This window comes from Homo sapiens, chromosome 7, assembly GCF_000001405.40.
Source record: "Homo sapiens chromosome 7, GRCh38.p14 Primary Assembly".
Lineage (NCBI taxonomy): Eukaryota > Metazoa > Chordata > Mammalia > Primates > Hominidae > Homo > Homo sapiens.
Genome location: NC_000007.14, coordinates 136,097,168 through 136,120,752, shown reverse-complemented (window position 1 = coordinate 136,120,752; position 23,585 = coordinate 136,097,168). Strand labels below are relative to the sequence as shown.

General features: G+C 41.9%; 1 long non-coding RNA gene across 13 annotated transcripts in view, besides 1 other annotated feature; it reads right to left on the bottom strand.

Moving 5' to 3' along the window:
* The window catches only part of LOC105375523 (uncharacterized), a 459,019-nt gene that overhangs the window by 319,213 nt on the left and 116,221 nt on the right, over window positions 1-23,585 (bottom strand). For 3 of the 13 annotated variants that reach the window (NR_187960.1, NR_187957.1, NR_187959.1), the window contains exon 2: window positions 3,565-3,682. The exons of the other annotated variants lie outside the window; for them this stretch is intronic. This is a non-coding gene — a long non-coding RNA (uncharacterized LOC105375523). The remainder of the gene's footprint in view (window positions 1-3,564; window positions 3,683-23,585) is intronic. 13 annotated transcript variants of the gene reach the window in all.
* Window positions 5,290-5,399: a silencer, noted in NCBI's record as "silent region_18683". NCBI's record gives its function as "represses an Ori minimal core promoter by ATAC-STARR-seq in GM12878 lymphoblastoid cells {active_cell/tissue: GM12878}" and the evidence as "EXISTENCE:reporter gene assay evidence [ECO:0000049][PMID:35858748]".

Genomic DNA, 23,585 nt, shown 5'->3' with positions numbered 1-23,585 from the left:
TTCGATGGTTTTATGAAGGGGAATTTCCCTGCACAAGCTCTCTTTTTGTCCACCACCATATAAGAAGTCCCTTTGCTCTTTCTTTGGCTTTCGCCATGATTTTGAGGCCTCCCCAACCAGGTGGAACTGTGAGTCCATTAACCTTCTTTCCATTATAAATTATCCAGTCTCAGGTATGTCTTTATTAGCAGCGTGAGAACAGACTAATCCAGCTGGAAAAGAAGATTGGACCCTAAAATGAAGCACAGTGAATACTGGAGTAGAATTACAGACTTCACCCTTTAGGCACCAGGGAATCATTGAAGGTTTGGGTGCAGTGAGGTGATGAGATTAAGAGGATATTTTAAGAAGACCAATCTGCCAACAATAATAGGATGAATCGGAGAAGAAGAAAAAAGAGTCAAGGAAACCAGTTAAGAGGCAATTGGGGTGGTCCAGAATTGAAGGGTGCAGGAGCCTGAGTATCAATACCAGCAGTGGAAATGGAAAACAACTGCAACCCTTAACTAGTTATTGAGGAAATAAAAGGAGAGGATTGAAAGTGGAGGTTTGAAGCCAAGTCGGAATGAAACAGAGACGTCAGGAAGAGAAAGAATTCAAAAATAAGAGAAAAAAATTGACATGTGTAGTCTAGGAAAAAGGTTTACTAGGTAGCCAAAAATATGAGCCTGAGGCTCAGAAGAGAAGACAAGGTGAACCAATATCAGATTTTTCTTCTTCTCAAAGTTCAAGGAGAATTTAGAAACAGGTCATCAGTCACCGGACTCAGATTTTAAAGGTAAGAGTTACATCTTAGTCATCTTGTTTATTGTCAGCACCTGGCAAAGTTCCTGATACATAATAGATGTGCAATAAAGGAATGAACATCTATTATGTATCATTTATCTATCAATAAATGAACATCTATTATGTATCATTTATCTATCAATGAATGAACATCTATTATGTATCATTTATCTACCAATGAATGAACATCTATTATGTATCATTTATCTATCAATGAATGAACATCTATTATGTATCATTTATCTATCAATAAATGAACATCTATTATGTATAATTTATCTATCAATGAATGAACATCTATTATGTATCATTTATCTATCAATAAATGAACATCTATTATGTATCAGCTTAACATCTATTGCTTGTAAAGCTGAACTGAAGTATATTAAAAGGAAACAGTTGGAGACTCTGCAAATAATTTCTGCCAAAGTCATAGTTTTGGCTAAGATCTTCCCTGTTTGCCCAATGGTATGAAGACAAATAGAAAGAGGCATGTGAATACACTGAACACCCTGCATTAGAGACAAGTGGGAACCACAGGCAAGCTGTGCAAGCTGATGCAGAGCCTGGCAGAGAGGAGGGAGGGGCCAGCCACCCAGGTGTCCTGGAGGTGCAGCCCATGAGGAAGAACCAACTGTGATCCAGTAGTTGATACTTCCCAGGACTTGATTCCTAAGGAGCTGGTGGGGAATCTCTATAGATAGAATGAATTAGAATAAATTCAGAATAGAAAATTAAGTTTTGAATAGAACTCCAAGTACGTCCAACTTAGAAGAATCATTGAGAGTGAAAAAGCTATTACATTATTACTTTTCATTACTACATAGTAAAAAGGCTAAATATTTGATAACTCTAGGACAAATGGCCCCTAATCTATTAACATCATTCATTGTTCAGAAACGAAAGGAACATTACTTTGTACGACAGTACCACTATTATTCAAATGTATGGGGGTGCTGCTATAATAAGGAATGAAACGTTTACACTAAAAAGTAGTACTCATACTAATATATTTAGAAGCCTATAGTTTATGGCTTTTAACAACATCCAATTCATTATTTTTTCTAAAGTGTATTAATTGTGAATAATTTCAAAAGTACTGTAAAATTATTTTTAATACTATCAAGATTAAATAAAGATATTACATTCAATCCTTTAATATTTAAAGAAATTAATTTATGAAATTATATTAATTTATGTTAATTGTATTGTTATTAACTTATTAAATTTAAATAATTAAATGTAAAGATTTTATAATATTGTTCAAAAATCACATTCTGTCTTCTTTAAAGGGTAAGTTTTTTTACCCACTCTTTATTCTTCCCTCCTTTTCCTGGAAATTGATATTTCAATGTTTATATTTAATATTTTACATATATATATTCAAAACCACCATATATTGTTTTCTGTGGGGCTTCTAATGCTTAAATAAATGATATTATACTATATGGATCTAAATTGCTTTTTGTACTCAGTATTATGTTTTTAAGAGCTAGTCATTCAATTTCACTATTGTATAGTACTTCATTGTTTGAATAACTAGAGTTTATTAGTCCATTTTTTAATCTAGTGTTACTTAGGTTGTTTTCTTCTAACTTTTTTTCTATTGCAAACAGCATTGCAGTGAAGTTCCTTGCACATCTTCTTGTGCATATTTGAAAATCTAAAGACTGAGATGATAGACGTGAGAGTATGCACATTTAACAGAGTATTAAAATAGAAGTTTTGCCTGAGATCCTAAGATGATAGATAACAGTTATCAAAGTAAGATGCCAGACCAAGAAAAAATATCATGGTACTAAAAAGTAGTTTCACTACTCTTACACCCTCTACCCATATTGAATATTAAAAAGGGTCAGACTGTTGAAAATGAAGGAGAGAGAATTTGCAGTAAGAATTTCTTGTAGAGAACCATGCTGTAAGTCTCATCTGGTCCCTGATTCCTATCAAGGAGAGAGTAGGATAGGGAGCTACTTACTTCTCACATAAAGCCAATAAGTGGATCTTGAAAGGCTTAATTTGTGACTTGCAGTGTGCAGGACAGAGAGGGCTGGGGCCAAGTACCACCTACATAATATAAACAGCTTGCTCCTGCATTAACCTGTTCTAACCATGGGCCACTGCTGGCTAAATGCCCAATGGTTCGCAAGAGAGAGAATATTATGGGCCCATGATGAGCCTTCATTCCCTGAGGAGGTCGGCCACCCACCTGGCGGTGGGTTAGTTACATAACATCTCTCACACCTGGGTGGCGGGTTCGTTACATAACATCTCTCACACCTGGGTGGTGGGTGGAAGGGGGCAGCAATGAGTTCACTGGAATTGAGACACATTCTACATCTGTGCACGCCCTCCTTGACCACAGTGCCTCTGTCAGCACTGCCATCTGAGAGTTCACACGCATCTTCTCTATCAATATGGCAGCCTACAGGACCTCACCACAGAACAAGGGATTCATATGACAGCAATAGAGGTGTGTAAGAGGGCTTGTGGCCACAGGATTCTTTGGCTTTATAACATACTCAGAAGCAGTCAAACTGATGGAAGGCCCAAGGCTGGCTGAGGAGCCAACTGGGTGTCAAGACACGTGAAGTTAGCATGCTAGTCTCAAGGATGTAACATGCCAGGCATAGTGGCTCAAGCCTGTAATTCCAGTACTTTGGGAGGCCACAGTGGGCAGATCCCTTGAACCCAGGAGTTCGAGACCAGCCTGAGCAACATAGCAAAATCCTGTCTCTACAAAAAATACAAAAATTAGCCAGGCGTGATGACACTCACCTGTAGTCCTGGCTACTTAGGAAGCTGAGGTGAAAGGATCGCTTGAGCCTAGGAGGTCAAGGCTGCGGTGAGCCATGATCACACCACTGCACTGCAGCCTGGGCGACAGAGTGAGACCCTGTCTCCAAAAAAAAAAAAAAAAGTAACACAAAATTAGACAAGATGGCCAACCGGATGCAGCTAGAAGCACCTCTTCCACAAAGAGGAACCAAAATATCAAGTAAGACTTCAAACCTCCAACAGATCTTTTGAAAGAAAACACTGAAAGTCAATAGAGAGGTGATGCAGACACTGTGGCTGAAGAGGAAGGAGGGGGGACAGCCTGCTCTGTCACCAGGTGCCAGGACCTGCCCCTGAACCCAGACTGGACCCAAGAAAGGGGTAAATGAAGGCACTGCAGGGCACCACATGCCCACCATGGAGCCCTGAGTCCTAGCTACAGGAGTTCCCATGACCCCTGCAGATCTTTGGATTGGCAGGGGGAGTTGCCTAGACAAATGGAGAGGCACAGCGAGAACCTGCATGGAGCCCAGAAGGCTTTGCTGTGCTGGGCAGCTTGTGGCAAAACATGGGGCCAGAGTGAGGCTATCTGGTAAGGCTCTGGACGCGTATCCACTAAGGCTCTGGACGTCCATCCTGCACTAAGCAACTGCAGCTCCTGCTGTCTGCTGGGCCAGTAGAGAACAGGGTACGACCTCACTCACAGGCCTAAGAAACACCCCGCGGCCATTGTCGCCGATGAGGTGCAGATGAATCAAACTTCTCCTTGCCTGCTGGCCCTCCCAAGACCATCTGCCTGGCCACTCCCACAGGAGTATACCCCCAGCACAGCCTCCACTGCCCCATCTAAGCGTTGTGTTGGCAGCATGCCAGCAGCTCACTTCCCCCATCCCAGCTTTACTTTGGCCCCAAGGGACCAGAGGACAAATCCAAGGGCCAGGTCCCAATTCTCCAGGATTCGAGCACATCGCCCAGGGGCATTGAGTTAACAGTTGTGGCCTGATCTTGAGTAGCGGAGGAGCCCCCACTATCAGAACACAGAGTGTGGTGCTGGTTCATGCAGTGGTGTGGGAGCTGGGCACCCCTTCCTTTGCAAGGCCAGGTGGGGAAAGGCATGGCCTGATAGCTGCAGTTTCCCCCTCAGGGAGTCTGGCAGCCTGGAATGCCCAGTAGGGTTCAGCGATCTGGGCGCAGACAGCTTGGGATGAACTTAGCTGGTCAGGCTTGCTGGCTGGACCAGATGTGAAAGGGAGACTCACTGGATCAGGGGAGCTTAAACTGTGTGGGCCCCATGGCTGCCTGCTGGGCTGAAAACCCCGGTCCACTTCTCTTCCCCTAAGCAAGTTCTGTGGCACAGGAGGGTCTTCTTCGTCCCTTCCTGAAAGGTTGTCCTACCAGCCTGAGAGCTACCCCTATGCCTCCACCAAGGTCAGCGCTCACGTCGGCCTCAGAGAGGCTGATAATGGACTTGCCCAACCCAGCCACATCCAGCTTTGCCCCCTCCAGCTGCTCTCAGCAGAGCACAGAATGGTATCCCTGAGACCCCCACACCCTGCCCATCGCCAAGGACAGCCCAGTACTTCCCCTGTTCAACCAAGGCCAAGAAAAAATTCTACTGCCATCACTGCAATTGCCTCTCACCTGCAAGCGCTACTTAAAGGCCAGGAAGTCAACCTGCAGGGCCCATCACAACTTCAGCAGACGGCATAGTACAGCGCTCAGCTGGTTCATACCCATAAGTGCCACCTACTGGCCGGTAGCGTGAACTGCACAACCCAATATAATTTCCACCGAGGGAAGTGCACAGCACTGGAGAAAGAGATAAAACTTCTCCAGACCTGCCGTGAGGGATAGAGCTATCCAGCCCAGATACTACACTTTTCCCACAGTCTTCGCAATCTGCAGACCAGGAGATTCCCTCGGGTGTATACACCACCAGGGCCCTGGGTTTCAAGCACAAAACCGGGCGGCCCTTTGGGCAGACACTGAGATAGCTGCAGGAGGTTTTCTTCATACACCAGTGGCGCCTGGAATGCCAGCGAGACAGAACCGTTCACTCCCCTGGAAAGGGGGCTGAAGCCAGGGAGCCAAGTGGTCTAGCTTACCGGATCCCATCCCCACGGAGCCCAGCAAGCTAAGATCCGCTGGCTTGAAATTCTCACTGCCAGGCTGGGCAGGGTGGCTCATGCCTTAATTCCAGCACTTTGGGAAGCCAAGGTGGATGGATCACGAGGTCAGGAATTCAAAACCAGCCAGGCCAAGATGGTGAAACCCCATCTCTGCTAAAACTACAAAAATTAGCCAGATGTGGTGGCAAGCGCCTGTAATCCCAGCTACCTGGGAGGCTGAGGCAGGAGAATCACTGGGCAGCAGAAGTTGCACTGGGCCGGGATTGCGCCACTGCACTCCAGCCTGGGCGACAGATTGAGACTCCATCTCAAAAAAAAAAAGAAAAAAGAAAAAAAATTCTTGGAGTCTGAAGTCGACCTGGGGCACTTGAACTTGGTGGGTGGAGGGGTGTCCGCCATTACTGAGGCTTCAGTAGGCACTTTTACCCTCACAGTGTAAATAAAGCTACAAGGAAGTTTGAACAGGGTGGAGCCAACCACAGCCCAGCAAGGCTGCTGCGGCCAGACTGCCTCTCTAGATTCCTCCTCTCTGGGCAGGGCATCTCTGAAAATAAGGCAGCAGCCCCAGTCAGGGACTTATAGATAAAACCCCCAGCTCCCTGGGACAGAGCACCTGGGGGAAGGGGCAGCTGTGGGCACAGCCTCAGCAGACTTAAACGTCCCTGCCTGCTGGCTCTGAAGAGAGCAGCGGGTCTCCCAGCACAGCGTTCGAGCTCTGCTAAAGGTCAGACTGCCTCCTCAAGTGGGTCCCTGACCCCCATGTATCCAACTGGGAGACACCTCCCAGTAGGGGCCAACAGACATCTCATACAGGAGAGCTCTGGTGGGCATCTGGTAGGTGTCCCTCTGGGACAAAGCTTCCAGAAGATGGAACAGGCAGCAATCTTTGCTGTTCTGCAGCCTCCACTGGCAATACACAGGCAAACAGGGTCTGGAGGGACCTTCAGCAGACCTGCAGCAGAGGGGCCTGACAGTGAGAAGGAAAACTAACAAACAGAAAAGGAATAGTATCAACATCAACAAAAAGGACACTCACTCAGAGACCCAATCCGAAGGTCACCAACGCCAAAGACCAAAGGTAGATAAATCCACGAAGATGGGGAGAAACCAGTGCAAAAAGGCTGAAAATTCCAAAAACCAGACTGCCTTTTCTCCTCCAAAGGATCACAACTCCTCACCACCAAGGGAACAAAACTAGACAGAGAATGAGTTTGACTAATTGACGGAAGTAGGCTTTACAAGGTGGGTAATAAGAAACTCCTCCGAGCTAAAGGAGCATGTTTTAACTGAATGCAAGGGATCGAAGAAACTTGAAAAAAGGTTAGATGAATTGCTAACTAGAATAACCAGTTTAGAGAAGAACATAAATGAGGTGATGGAGCTGAAAAACACAGCACGAGAACTTTGTGAAGCATACACAAGTATCAATAGCTGAATCGCTCAAGCGCAGGAAAGGATAACAGAGATCAAAGATCAACTCAATGAAATAAAGCGAGAAGACAAAATTAGAGAAAAAAGGGTGAAAAGAAACAAAAGAAGCCTCCAAGAAACACAGGACTATGTGAAAAGGCCAAATCTACATTTGATTGGTGTACCTGAAAGTGACAGGGAGAATGGAACCAAGTCGGAAAACACTCTGCAGGATATTATCCAGGAGAACTTCTCCAACCTAGCAAGACAGGCCAAAATTCAAATTCAGGAAATACAGAGAACACCACAAAGATACTCCGCGAGAAGAGCAACCCCAAGACACATAATTGTCAGATTCACCAAGGTTGAAATGGAGGAAAAAATGTTAAGGGCAGCCAGAGAGAAAGGTTGGGTTACCCACAAAAGGAAGCCCATCAGACTAACAGTGGATCTCTCAGCAGAAACTCTACAAGCCAGAAGAGAGTTGGGGGCCAATATTCAACATTCTTAAAGATAAGAATTTTCAACCCAGAATTTCATATCCAGCCAAACTAAGCTTCATAAGCAAAGGAGAAATAAAGTCCTTTACAGACAAGCAAATGCTGAGAGATTCTGTCACCACCAGGCCTGACTGCACTAAACATGGAAAGGAAAAACCAGTACCAGCCACTGCAAAAATATACCAAATTGTAAAGACCATTGACACTATGAAGAAACTGCATCAACTAATGGGCAAAATAACCAGCTAGCATCATGACAGGATCAAATTCACACATAACAATATTAACCTTAAATGTAAACAGGCTAAATGTGCCAATTAAAGACACAGACTGGCAAATTGGATAAAGAGTGAAGACCCATCAGTGTGCTGTATTCAGGAGACCCATCTTATGTGAAAAGACACATATAGGCTCAAAATAAAGGGATGGAGGAATACTTACCAAGTGAATGGAAAGAAAAAAGAAGCAGGGATTGCAATCCTAGTCTCTGATAAAACAGACTTTAAACCAAAAAAGATCAAAAGAGACAAAGAAGGGCATTACGTAATGGTAAAGGGATCAATTCAACAAGAAGAGCTAACTATTCTAAATATATATGCACCCAATACAGGAGCTCCCAGATTCATAAAGCAAGTTGTTAGAGACCTACAAAGAGACTTCGACTCCCACACAATAATAGCGGGAGACTTTAAAACCCCCACTGTCAATATTAGACAGATCAACAAGACAGAAAATTAACAAGCATATCCAGGACTTTAACTCAGCTCTAGACCAAGTGGACCTAGTAGACATTTACAGAACTCTCCATCCCAAATCAATAGAATATACATTCTTCTCAGCACCATGTCACACTTATTCTAAAATTGACCACATAATTGGAAGTAAAACACTCTTCAGCAAATGCAAAAGAATGGAAATCATAACAAACAGTTTCTCAGACCACAGTGCAATCAAATTAGAACTCAGGATTAAGAAACTCACTCAACACCACACAACTACATGGAAACTGAACAACCTGCTACTGAATAACTACTGAGTAAATAACAAAATTAAGGCAGAAATGAAGATGTTCTTTGAAACCAATGAAAACAAAGACACAACATACCAGAAACTCTGGGACACATTCAAAGCAGTGTGTAGAGGGAAATTTATAGCACTAAAATGCCCACAAGAGAAAGCAGGAAAGATCTAAAATTGACACCCTAACATCACAATTGAAAGAACTAGAAAAGCAAGAGCAAACATATTCAAAAGCTAGCAGAATACAAGAAATAACTAAGATGAGAGCAGAACTGAAGGAGGTAGAGACACAAAAACCCTTCAAAAAACCAATGAATCCAGGAGCTGGTTTTTTGAAAGGATCAACAAAATTGATAGACCACTAGCAAGACTAATAAAGAAAAAGAGAAGAATCAAATAGACACAATAAAAAATGATAAAGGGGATATCGCCACCGATCCCACAGAAATACAAACTACCATCAGAGAATATTACAAACACCTCTACGCAAATAAACTAGAAAATCTAGAAGAAATGGATAAATTCCTGGACACATACACCCTCCCAAGACTAAACCAGGAAGAAGTTGAATCCCTGAATAGACCAATAACAAGTTCTGAAATTGAGGCAGTAAGAGCCTACCAACCAAAAAAAGTCCAGGACCAGACAGATTCACAGCAGAATTCTACCAGAGGTACAAAGAGGAGCTGGTACCATTCCTTCTGAAACTATTACAAACAATAGAAAAAGAGTGAATTCGCCCTAACTAATTTTATGAGGCCAGTATCATCCTGATACCAAAACCTGGCAGAGACACAACAAAAAAAGAAAATTTCAGGCAAATATCCCTGATGAACATCAATGCAAAAATCCTCAATAAAATACTGGCAGACCGAATCCAGCAGCACATCAAAAAGCTTATCCACCACTATAAAGTCGGTTTCATCCCTTGGATGCAAGGCTGGTTCAACATGTGCAAATCAATAAACGTAATCCATCACATAAGCAGAACCAATGACAAAAACCACATGATTATCTCAATAGATACAGAAAAGGTCTTTGAAAAAATTCAACAGCCCTTTATACTAAAATCTCACAATAAACTAGATATTGATGGAACATATCTCAAAATAATAAGAGCTATTTATGACAAACCCACAGCCAATATCATACTGAATGGGCAAAAGCTGGAAGCATTCCCTTTCAAAACCGGCACAAGACAAGGATGCCCTCTCTCACCACTCCTATTCAACATAGTGTTGGAAGTTCTGGCCAGGGCAATCAGGCAAGAGAAAGAAATAAAGGGTATTCAATTAGGAAAAGAGGAAGTCAAATTGTCCCTGTTTGCAGATGACATGATTGTATATTTAGAAAATCCCACTGTCACAGCCCAAATCTCCTTAAGCTGATAAACAACTTCAGCAAATCTCAGGATACAAAATCAATGTGCAGAAGTCACAAGCATTCCTATACACCAATAACAGACAAACAGAGCGCCAAATCATGAGTGAACTCTCATTCACAATTGCTACAAAGAGAATAAAATACCTAGGAATCCAACTTACAAGGGATGTGAAGGACCTCTTCAAGGAGAACTACAAACCACTGTTCAAGGAATTAAGAGAGGACACAAACAAATGGAAAAACATTCCATGCTCATGGATAGGAAGAATCAATATCGTGAAAATGGCCATACTACCCAAAGTAATTTATAGATTCAACGCTATCCCCATCAAGCTACCATTGACTTTCTTCACAGAATTGGAAAACACTGCTTTAAATTTCATAGCAAAAAGAACAAAGCTGGAGGCAACATGCTACCTGACTTCAAACTATACTACAAGGCTACAGTAACCAAAACAGCATGGTTCCAGTACCAAAACAGATATATAGACTAATGGAACGGAATAGAGGCCTCAGAAATAACACTACACATCTACAACCATCTGATCTTTGACAAACCTGACAAAAACAAGAAATGGAGAAAGGATTCTCTATTTAATAAATGGTGTTGGGAAAACTGGTTAACCACATGCAGAAAGCTGAAACTGGATCCCTTCCTTACGTCTCATACAAAAATTAATTCAAGATGGATTAAAGACTTAAATGTATGACCTAAAACTATAAAAACCCTAGAAGAAAACCTAGGCAGTACCATTCAGACATAGGCATGGGCAAAGACTTCATGTCTAAAACACCAAAAGCAATGGCAACAAAAGCCAAAATTGACACATGAGATCTAATTAAACTAAAGAGCTTCTGCACAGCAAAAGAAACTATCATCAGAGTGAACAGGCAACCTACAGAATGGGAGAAAAATTTTTCAATCTATTCATCTGACGAAGGACTAATATCTAGAATCTACAAAGAACTTAAACAAATTTACAAGAAAAAAAACAACCCCATTAAAAAGAGGGTGAAGGATATGAACAGACACTTCTCAAAAGAAGACATTTATGCAGCCAACAAACTTATGAAAAAATGCTTATCCTCACTGGTCATTAGAAAAATGCAAATCAAAACCACAATGAGATACCATCTCATGCCATTTAGAATGGTGATCATTAAAAAGTCAGGAAACAACAGATGCTGGAGAGGATGTGGAGAAATAGGAACATTATTACACTGTTGGTGGGAGTGTAAACTAGTTCAACCATTGTGGAAGACAGTGTGGCGATTCCTCAAGGTTCTAGAACTAGAAATACCATTTGACCCAGCAATCCCATTACTAGGTATATGCCCAAATGATTATAAATCATTCTACTATAAAGACACATGCACATGTAGGTTTATTGTGGCACTGTTCACAATAGCAAAGACTTGGAAACCAACCCAAATGCCCATCAATGATAGACTGGATAAAGAAAATGTGGCATATATACACCATGGAATACTATGCAGCCATAAAAAAGGATGAGTTCATGTCCTTTGCAGGGACATGGACAAAGCTGGAAACCATCATTCTCAGCAAACTAACACAAGAACAGAAAACCAAACACCTCATGTTCTCACTCATAAGTGGGAGTTGAACAATGAGAACACATGGACAAGTTGGGGGGGTCATCACACACCAGGGCCTGTCAGCGGATTGGGGGCTGCAGGAGGGATAGCATTAGGAGAAATACCTAATGTAGATGATGGGTTGATGGATGCAGCAAACCACCATGGCACATGTATACCTATGTGACAAACTTGCACGTTCTGCACATGTACCCCAGAATTTAAATATTAAAAAATATATATATAGCACATTCAATTATGTTCAGTACATAATACTTGAAAATGATAATAAATGACTGGTGATCATAAAAAAGGAAAATAAATAACTAACATCAGAGAAGAACTAAATAAAACTGAAACCCAAAGAAAACATACAAAAGATTAACAATGGAAACAAAAAGTTGAGTCTTTGAATAGGTAAACAAAACTGATAGACTGCTACCTAGATTAACAACAAAAAAAAGAGAAGATCCAAATAAGTACAATCAGAAATGACAAAAGTGACATTACAACTGATACCACAGAAATAAAAAAGATCCTCCCAGACTGCTATGAACATCTCTAAGTACACAAGCTAGAAAATCTAGAGGAGCTGGATAAATTCCTGGAAATGTACAAGCTACCAAGATTGAACCAGGAAGAAATTGAAATCTTGAACACACCAATACAAGTTACAAAATTGAATCAGTAATTAAAAATTACCAACTAGAAAATGCTCTAAACCAGATGGATTCACAGCCAAATTCTACCAGACATACAAAGGAGAGCCGATACCAATCTTACCGAAACTATTCCAAAAAAATCAAAGAGGAGGGATTCCTCCCTAACTCATTCTACAAAACCAGTATCATCCTGACACCAAAATCTGTCAAGGACACAACAAAAAAAAGAAAACTACAGACCTATACTCCTAATAAACATAGATGTAAAAATCCTCAACAATTATGCAGCCAAAAAACAAATGAAAAAATGCTCACCATCACTGGCCATCAGAGAAATGCAAATCAAAACCACAATGAGATACCATCTCACACCAGTTAGAATGGCAATCATTAAAAAGTCAGGAAACAACAGGTGCTGGAGAGGATGTGGAGAAATAGGAACACTTTTACACTGTTGGTGGGACTGTAAACTAGTTCAACCATTGTGGAAGTCAGTGTGGCGATTCCTCAGGGATCTAGAACTAGAAATACCATTTGACCCAGCCATCCCATTACTGGGTATATACCCAAAGGACTATAAATCATGCTGCTATAAAGACACATGCATACGTATGTTTATTGTGGCACTATTCACAATAGCAAAGACTTGGAACCAATCCAAATGTCCAACAATGATAGACTGGATTAAGAAAATGTGGCATATATACACCATGGAATACCATGCAGCCATAAAAAATGATGAGTTCATGTCCTTTGCAGGGACATGGTTGAAATTGGAAATCATCATTCTCAGTAAACTATCGCAAGGACAAAAAACCAAACACCACATGTTCTCACTCATAGGTGGGAATTGAACAATGAGAACACATGGCACAGGAAGGGGAACATCACACTCTGGAGACTGTTGTGGGGTGGGGGGAGGGGGGAGGGATAGCATTAGGAGATATACCTAATGCTAAATGACGAGCTAATGGGTGCAGTACAGCAGCATGGCACATGTATACATATGTAACTAACCTGCACATTGTGCACATGTACCCTAAAACTTAAAGTATAATAATAATAATAAATTTAAAAATAAATGTTGCTTTAAGCTACTAAAAAAAATATCCTCAACAAAATACTAGCAAACCAAATCCATCAGCACATTAAAAAGATAATTAATCACTATCAAGTGGGTTTTTTTATAGGATGGAAGGATGGTTCAACATATACAAATTACTAAATGTAATTCACCATATAAACTGAATTGAAAACAAAAACCATATGATCATCTCAAATGCAGCAGAAGAAGCATTTGATAAAATATCTTCATGATAAAAACCTCAACAAACTAGGCATCAAAAAACATACTTCAAAATAATAAGGGCCATCTATGACAAACCCACAGCCAACATCATACTGAATGGGCAAAATTTGAAAGCATTAACCCTAAGAACTAGAGCAAGATAAAGGTGTCCACTTTCACCACTCCTATTTGGTATTGGAGTGAAATCCTAGTAAGAGCGATCAGGCAATAGAAAGAAATAAAAGGCATCCAAATAGGAAACGAAGTCAAATTATCTCTATTCACCAAGAACACGACTCTACTACCTAGAAAATTCTAAAGATTCCTCCAAAAGACTACTAGGCCTGATAAACAACTTCAGTAAAGTTTCAGGATACAAAATCTATGTAAAAAATGACTAGCATTTCTGTACACCAATCATGTTCAAGTTGAGAAGATTAAGAACACATGTTCATTTACAATAGCCACAAAAAGAATAAAATACCTAGTAATACATTTTACCACAGAGGTGAAAGATCTCTATGTGGAGAACTAGAAAACACTGATGAAATAAACCATACGTGACACAATCAAATGGAAAAACATTCCATGCTCATTGATTGGAAGAACATTGTTAAAATGACCATACTACCCAGAGCAATCTACAGATTCAATGTAATTCCTATCAAATTACCAATGTCATTTTTTACAGAATTAGAAAGACCTATTCTAAAATTCATATGGAACCAAAAAAAGAGCCTGAATAGTCAAAGCAATCCTAAGCAAAAGAACAAAGTCGGAGGCATCACATTACCCAACTTTAAACTATACTACAAGGATACAGCAACCAAAATAGCATGGTACTGGTACAAAAAGACACACAGACCAATGGAACAGATTAGAGAATCCAGAAACAAAGCCATACACGCTGCAACCAACTGATCTTTGACAAAACCAACAACAATAAACTATGTGGAAAGGACACCCTATTTTATAAATGGTGCTGGGAAAACTGGCTAGCCACATACAGAAAGATGAAACTGTACCCCTACCTCTCACCATACACAAAAATTAACTCAAAATAAATTACAGACTTAAATGTAAGACCTCAAACTATAAAATTCCTAAAAGAAAACCTAGGAAAAATTCTCCTAGACATTGGCCTAGGCAAATAATTTATGACTAAGTCCTCAAAAGCAAATGCAATGAAAACAAAAATTAACAAATGGAACCTAATTAAACTAAATAACTTCTGCACAGCTAAAGAAACTATCAACAGAGTAAACAGTACACATACCAAAGGGGAGAAAATATTGGCAAACTATGCTTCTGACAAAGGCCTAATATTCAGAATCTATAAGGAACTTAAATAAATCAACAAGAAAAAAAAACACTAAAAAGTGGGCAAAGGACATGAACAGACATTTCTCAAAAGAAGACATACATGGCAGCCAACAAACATATGAAGAAATGCTCAACATCATTAATCAGAGAAATGCAAATTACAACCACTATGACATACCATCCAGACCAGTCAGAATGGCTATTATTAAACAGTCAAAAAATAACAAATTTTATTGAGGATGTTGGTGGAAATGTAAATTAGTTCAACCCCTATGGAAAACAGTGTGCAGATTTCTCAAAGACACATAAAAATAGAACCACCATTCAATCCAGAAACCCCACTACTGGGTACATACCCAAAGGAAAAGAAGTTTTACCAAAAAGAGCACTTGCATGTTTACTGCAGCATTTCACAATAGCAAAGTCAAGGAATCTACCTAAGTGTCCATCAAAGATGGCCTGGATAAAGAAAATGTGGTACATATACACTGTGAAATACTACACAGCCATAAAAAAGAATGAAATCACTTCCTTCACAGTAACCTGGATGCAGCTGGAGGCCATTAGTCTAAATGAATTAATGCAGAAACAGAAAATCAGATACCACCTTATTACAGATGAGGGTTAAACAAAGGGTACACGTGGATATAAAGATGGAAAAAATAGACACTGGAGACTCCAAAAGGAGTCCAAAACCACCTATTGAGTACTATGTTCACTATCTGAGTGATAGATTCAATAGAATTCCAAACCCCAGCATTACACAATATGCCCATATGACAAACCTACACATGTACCCCCCGAATCTATTTCTCAAAAACAGAATGAAACATATGCATTGAGTTAACAAATTATATATCCTAGTTTCCAGTGGCTAGAATTAAACCAAAAGTCCAATACATTTTAGTCGCTCATCACAAGAAAACCAGTCCAATCCAGTAACCAAAGGGTGGAAATTAAAAACAGCCCTCCACGGTGGCTCACGCCTGTAATCCCAGCACTTTGGGAGGCCGAAGCGGGCGAATCATTTGAGGTCAAGGGTTCTAGACCAGCCTGGCCAACATGGAGAAACCCTGTCGCTACAAAAATTAGCTGGGCGTGATGGTAGGTGCCTGTAATCCCAGCGACTCGGGAGGCTGAGGCAGGAGAATCACTTGAACCTGGGAGGTGGAGGTTTCAGTGAGCCGAGATCATGTCACTGCACTCCAGCCTGGGTGACAGAGTGAGACACCGTCTCAGAAAAAAGAAAAAAGAAGCAGCCCTCTCGTAATTACACCCGATAACCCATTTGAGGAATTTGGCCTCCAAATTTGGACTCTGAAGGGTTACAGGTATTGGCTTTCTTAGAGAGGGGGAGTAGAGTCAGTAAGAGCTGCACTGAGCTGAAAGCTGCAGCTACAATGTTGCCAACGAACTCTTTAGTGTTCAGCAGGCAAATGAGTCACTGTAAAGTTGGTGGTCATTGATACTGACACCCATGAGGAACTAGGGCTGCACTCCACAAGGGAGCAGGAATGAGTAGGTCTGAATGCTGGGGATTCACTGGGGTGTCTCATAGTGCTACAAAGCCTAGTATTAACTATTCAGGAGCAATTATAGCAAATGTGTCTGAACTTGGGTAAAGCAGGAACTAACCCTGACAAGGATCTGAGTGCAATTAGTTTATTTGGGAATAAGCCCAGAAAACTTCAATAGGGAAGTGAGCAGCAAGGTAGGAGGTGGAGAAAGCCAGTATTATCAACTAATTTATCACTGTAGGCAACTGGAGCTCACTCCTGCTGGGCAACTCTGGCAGTCAGTGTGAACATAATAAGCCCAAAGGTGAGGAAGGTGGGTAATTCTACATCATCTCCAGGTCCACCAGTGGTTCAGGGCTGCTTCCAGGGGATTCACTGTCTAATACTCTAGCTTGTTCTTTGCCTGCATCCAAAGAAAAAAGCCTTCAGACATAGAGCATGCAGATGTTCACAGTATGCAGCCTTCAGAAAGTAGAGGTGAATGCTGAGGTTACCTAGAGAGGACACCAACGCTATCCGCTACAAACCACAACCCAAGAAGGGCAGAACAGCTAAAAGTTCACATGAAAGTCTGGACCCATACATTAGGCAAGCAATCCAAACCAGCTTAATTGCTGACCAAGCACAAGGGGAATCCACAAGGAGTGGTGGTGGAGGTGAAGCAAAGATGGAGAATATAAAATACAACATCAAGACCCATCACAGTAGCTGGACTATTACTCATGCCTTGTATCCTCCCAGGCATCACAATGGGATACCAGTTTGAAGAGAACTCTGTATCTAACTGGGCTTACTCCTCTCCTCTCTGAAAAGAAATTAGCATGCCCTGTTCTCATGAAAATAAAAAGGAAGACTCCTTATTATAGTAACAGAACCTGAAATGAGAGCATGATTAGATTGGAGTGGTTGACAGGAGGAGACTGTATGTGACCCAGATTGTTCGTACCTTCTCAGATTCCCTTGTCTGCCTCCTGGACCATGCTGCCACATCTAGGGCTGGACCAGTACTTGCCTGCTGTGTGCCAGGGCCTCCCTTTCATTACTGTCACATGGCATAGACCGTCAGCCACACATGTAGAGCTTCTGGCTTTTCCCACCACTTCCAGATGTAAAGGAAATACTACAATGTAGAGCACAGGCCCAGCATCCCAAACAGCTGCTGAGGGGGCCAGATGACTTAATCTGGAAGTGTGGTGGAGTCACCTTCCCATAGGCTAATTTTGACCAATAGGAAGTGGGTCTAGGGAGGAGCCAGGTGCATAGATCTTTGTCCCTTCCTCCTTCCCTTTAACTGCTCTGAGTCAGCTACTCTGCACAGCCTAACTGGAGGCATCTGACATGCTGAGCACCTGCTGGGGCTTGCCACCTTCACCATGGGGTAGTGGGCAGAGCAGTGAGAGTTCACTGCATGGCTTCCCTCCTCCCCTACCTCAGCTCCCTCTCCCTCATTCCAGCTGCCCTGGGTTGCACTTCCCAAATAAAGTCTCAGCTCTTTAAATCCTTGCTTCAGGTTCTATATTTTACAAAACCTGGCTTAAGACATAACACTTCAACCAGGATCACTCTCAATTCAATGTTCAGCTTGGAGTTTTTCAGATCACACAGATGCTGTGAATCCCAGCCTCAAACCTATAGGTGGTGATTAAGAATTCTTGGGAATTTTTTTTTTTTCAAGGACTGTTCCATTGTACACTTAGCTAAAACCAAAGCATGCCAGTCTCATTCTGTGGGGAAGTTTTCTTTCACCCTTAGCAGGTTCAAGTCTCTAATCAGACCTCTTACCTTTCTGGGCACTAAGCTATCTTTGTTTTCTTTCCTTGCATGGACATGGAAAGCCAAGGGTCTAGGGCACAAGGTAATCTTAGGGCAAACTAGAGATCCAGAGCTCACTTACTCCTGGGGAATCATGCCTTCTTGACATTCTGGTCTCTGTTTCCCTTTTATACTTCCTGCTCAGCCATGCTTTTAAGAAGTTGTTTCCTTTTGTTTTATATTCTGCATTTTAAGTATCTTACACTAAGAGGGTTTTCTTGGGACATCTAGTCCACAGTGTTGCCGGAAAAAAAATAATTTTGGAGAACATATATTTTATATTGTAACAATCTGAAATTTACAGCAAAGTTGCAAGTATAATATAAAGAACATTTTTTCCAGAATCATTTGAGATAAATTGCCAAAATGATGCCCGTAATCCACCCACCCTTCAATAATTCAGCATATGTTTCTTGCCCAAAAAAAGGATAATTCTACAAAACCTCATACAATGACCAAAATCAAGAAATTGACATTTATATCCTAATCCCCAGATCTGTACAAGTCTTGCCATTTGCTCTAATAGCTGCCTTCATCAGAAAAGGATCTAATTCAGAATTATGTGTTTCATTTTGTTGTTATGTCTTTTTATTCTCTTTTAATCTGGAATGGTTCCTCTGTCTGGCCTTGACTTTCACAAACTTGACAACTGTGTTGATTAAAGAATAGTTATGTCATAATACGCCCCTTGATTTGGGATTGTCTGATATCTCCCCACGAGTATGCATATATTTGGCAGAAATGTCATAGAAGTGAGGCTGTTATCTTTGATTCGTCCCAACACTGATGATGCTCACTTGATGCAGTGTATGTCTACCGGGCCACTCCACTGCAAAGTTTCTCTTTTCTGTTTTAGAATTAATGAGAATTTGAGGCCGGGCGCGGTGGCTCACGCCTGTAATCCCAGCACTTTAGGAGGCCGAGGCAGGCGGATCACGAGGTCAGGAGATGGAGAATATCTTGGCTAACACAGTGAAACCCCGTCTCAACTAAAAATACAAAAAATTAGCCGGGCGTGGTGGCGGGCAGCTGTAGTCCCAGCTACTCTGGAGGCTGAGGCAGGAGAATGGCGTGAACCTCGGAGGCGGAGCTTGCAGTCAGCTGAGATTGCGCCACTGCACTCCAGCCTGGGCGACAGAGTGAGACTCCGTCTCAAAAAAAAAAAAAAAAAAAAAAAAGAGTATTTTGTGAGGATTTTGAAATTATGTAAATTTCCCATTGCTCATCAGAATGTCACTTTATTTATTTGGTAATGTATATTAGTACACACTCAGTGGGTTCTAAAATGTTACAAATTGTCTTAGTCCATTCAGCTGCTGTAACAGAGTACTTTAGACTAAGCAATGTACAAACAACAGAAATTTACAGTTCTGGAGGCTGGGAAAACCAAGATCAAGGTGCTAGCGGATTCGGTGTCTGATGAGAGCCCACTCCTCATAGATGGCGCCTTCCTGCTGAGTTTTTTTTTTTTCAATGGCAAAAAGGGCAAACATGCCCCCTTCAATCTCTTTTATAAGGACACTAATCCCATACATGAGGGAGGAGTCCTCATGATTTAATCATTTCCCAATGGGCTCCACCTCTTAATACTATCACATTGGAAATTAAGTTTCAACATAGGAATTGAGGGGGGTACACCAACATTCAGACCATAGCACTATTTGCTGTGATAGTGATGCTCAATATGATGTTCAAATTGTCCTTTATTTGGCTCCCAAACAATCAGTGGCGTAAACTAAGAAACACATATATGCTTGTATGGATATGTATGCATATACATAAATACATGTATATACGTACACTTAAATTTATATTTATTCCTATACCTGCCTATCTATATTGAGAATTCCAAGTTTACACAGATACCACCAATTTCAATCCAACCATTACAGTTTTATCCCCTTACACTTTGTAACTCTCCCTCTCTGACCATGAGATATCTGGCTCCCAATTATTCTTAATATACTTACTTATTTGAAAAACATCCCCATCTGTAACCAACTTCCAATCTCTCCTGCACTCCTCTCTCCCATATGGTCACTCTTCTCACCCCACTCAACCCCACCCACCATGCCAAGCAGCCACCCCTGTCACCTGGACTTCCTCCTCTTCAGGCCTGGGCTCTGATACCCCATACCAGGCAGCCCTATGGAGATGCCTCCCTCACACAGTACTGCATGGACACCCTCCTCACCTATTGGCTTCACCACCCTGCACTATGTCACCCATTGTGTGGATGCTTGATTGACCCCTCTTAGCTTCTGACACCCTGTGCTGGGCAGGCCTCCTGTGCAAATACCTTTCTTACTCCATTCTTGCTCTGACACCTGCACCAGGTGTACCCCTACATGAACATCCTCCTCACTCGGCTTGGACTCCATTGCCCCACTCTGGGCCACCATGGCTAGCACCCGCCCACCCCAGCACAGATGCCTATATCTTGCCCTAATGGCTTTAAAACTGAATTGTTCAGAAAGAGAGGGGGAAGTAGAAGGGACACCAGAATTTTTAACATGCATATTTAAAGTATACACTTAGCCAATAGTCCTATCTCCATCCCTATCATTTCATGCACTTGGAAATGATAATTACTGGCACCACTATATCTGCACACCCCAGTGTCTTAAATGTTATTGTTGTCAGTTGGTTTTTCTCTCCTTTTTTTCCTTTTTATAGCTCTAAAATTGCTAGTTGTTATAATTATTATTTTGTATAGTCAATACTTCTTTATACTAATCAACATTTTACCTGTTTTGTTCCCCATTGCCTATTATATCCAATTCCTTCCATCTAGATTGATTTTGTTTTTCCTAAACTATATTCTTCAGTAGTCCTTTCAACAACAGTCGACACTTAGGAGGAGCCAAGATGGCTGAATAGGAACAGCTCCAGTCTGCAGCTCCCAGAGTGAGCGACGCAGAAGACGGGTGATTTCTGCATTTCCATCTAAGGTACCGGGTTCATCTCACTAGGGAGTGCCAGACAGTGGGCGCAGGTCAGTGGGTGCACGCACCACCTGCGAGCCGAAGCAGGGAGAGGCATTGCCTCACTTGGGAAATGCAAGGGGTCAGGGAGTTCTCTTTCCTAGTCAAAGAAAGGGGTGACAGATGGCACCTGGAAAATTGGGTCACTCCCACCCGAATACTGCGCTTTTCTGACGGGCTTAAAAAACGGCGCACCAGGAGATTATATCCCGCACCTGGCTCGGAGGGTCCTACGCCCACAGTCTCGCTAACTGCTAGCACAGCAGTCTGAGGTCAAACTGCAAGGCGGCAGCGAGGCTGGGGGAGGGGCGCCCGCCATTGCCCAGGCTTCCTTAGGTAAACAAAGCAGCCGGGAAGCTTGAACTGGGTGGAGCCCACCACAGCTCAAGGAGGCCTGCCTGCCTCTGTAGGCTCCACCTCTGGGGGCAGGGCACAGACAAACAAAAAGACAGCAGTAACCTCTGCAGACTTAAATGTCCCTGTCTGACAGCTTTGAAGAGAGCAGTGGTTCTCCCAGCAAGCAGCTGTAGATCTGAGAATGGGCAGACTGCCTCCTCAAGTGGGTCCCTGACCCCTGACCCCCGAGCAGCCTAACTGGGAGGCACCCCCCAGCAGGGGCAGACTGACACCTCACAGGGCCGGGTACTCCAACAGACCTGCAGCTGAGGGTCCTGTCTGTTAGAAGGAAAACTAACAAACAGAAAGGACGTCCACACCAAAAACCCATCTGTACATCACCATCATCAAAGACCAAAAGTAGATAAAACCACAAAGATAGGGAAAAAACAGAGCAGAAAAACTGGAAACTCTAAAAAGCAGAGCGCCTCTCCTCCTCCAAAGGAACGCAGCTCCTCACTAGCAATGGAACAAAGCTGGACGGAGAATGACTTTGACAAGCTGAGAGAAGAAGGCTTCAGATGATCAAATTACTCCGAGCTACGGGAGGCAAAGAAGTTGAAAACTTTGAAAAAAATTTAGAAGAATGTATAACTAGAATAACCAATACAGAGAAGTGCTTAAAGGAGCTGATGGAGCTGAAAACCAAGGCTCGAGAACTACTTGAAGAATGCAGAAGCCTCAGGAGCCGATGCGATCAACTGGAAGAAAGGGTATCAGCAATGGAAGATGAAATGAATGAAATGAAGTGAGAAGGGAAGTTTAGAGAAAAAAGAATAAGCCCTAAAAGAGCGCCTGAAAGAAGCGCTAAACATGGAAAGGAACAACCAGTACCAGCCGCTGCAAAATCATGCCAAAATGTAAACACCATCGAGACTAGGAAGAAACTGCATCAACTAACGAGCAAAATAACCAGCTAACATCATAATGACAGGATCAAATTCACACATAACAATATTAACTTTAAATGTAAATGGACTAAATGCTCCAATTAAAAGACACAGACTGGCAAATTGGATAAAGAGTCAAGACCCATCAGTGTGCTGTATTCAGGAAACCCATCTCACGTGCAGAGACACACATAGGCTCAAAATAAAAGGATGGAGGAAGATCTACCAAGCAAATGGAAAACAAAAAAAGGCGGGGGTTGCAGTCCTAGTCTCTGATAAAACAGACTTTAAACCAACAAAGATCAAAAAAGACAAAGAAGGCCATTACATAATGGTAAAGGGATCAATTCAACAAGAAGAGCTAACTATCCTAAATATATATGCACCCAATACAGGAGCACCCAGATTCATAAAGCAAGTCCTGAGTGACCTACAAAGAGACTTAGACTCCCACACATTAGTAATGGGAGACTTTAACACCCCACTGCCAACATTAGACAGATCAACGAGACAAAGTCAACAAGGATACCCAGGAATTGAACTCAGCTCTGCACCAAGTGGACCTAATAGACGTCTACAGAACTCTCTACCCCAAATCAACAGAATATACATTTTTTTCAGCACCACACCACACCTATTCCAAAATTGACCACATACTTGGAAGTAAAGCTCTCCTCAGCAAATGTAAAAGAACAGAAATTATAACAAACTATCTCTCAGACCACAGTGCAATCAAACTAGAACTCAGGATTAAGAATCTCACTCAAAACCACTCAACTACATGGAAACTGAACAACCTGCTCCTGAATGACTACTGGATACATAACGAAATGAAGGCAGAAATAAAGATGTTCTTTGAAACCAACGAGAACAAAGACACAACATACCAGAATCTCTGGGACGCATTCAAAGCAGTGTGTAGAGGGAAATCTATAGCACTAAATGCCCACAAGAGAAAGCAGGAAAGATCCCAAATTGACACCTTAACATCACAATTAAAAGAACTAGAAAAGCAAGAGCAAACACATTCAAAAGCTAGCAGAAGGCAAGAAATACCTAAAATCAGAGCAGAACTGAAGGAAATAGAGACACAAAAAACCCTTCAAAAAAT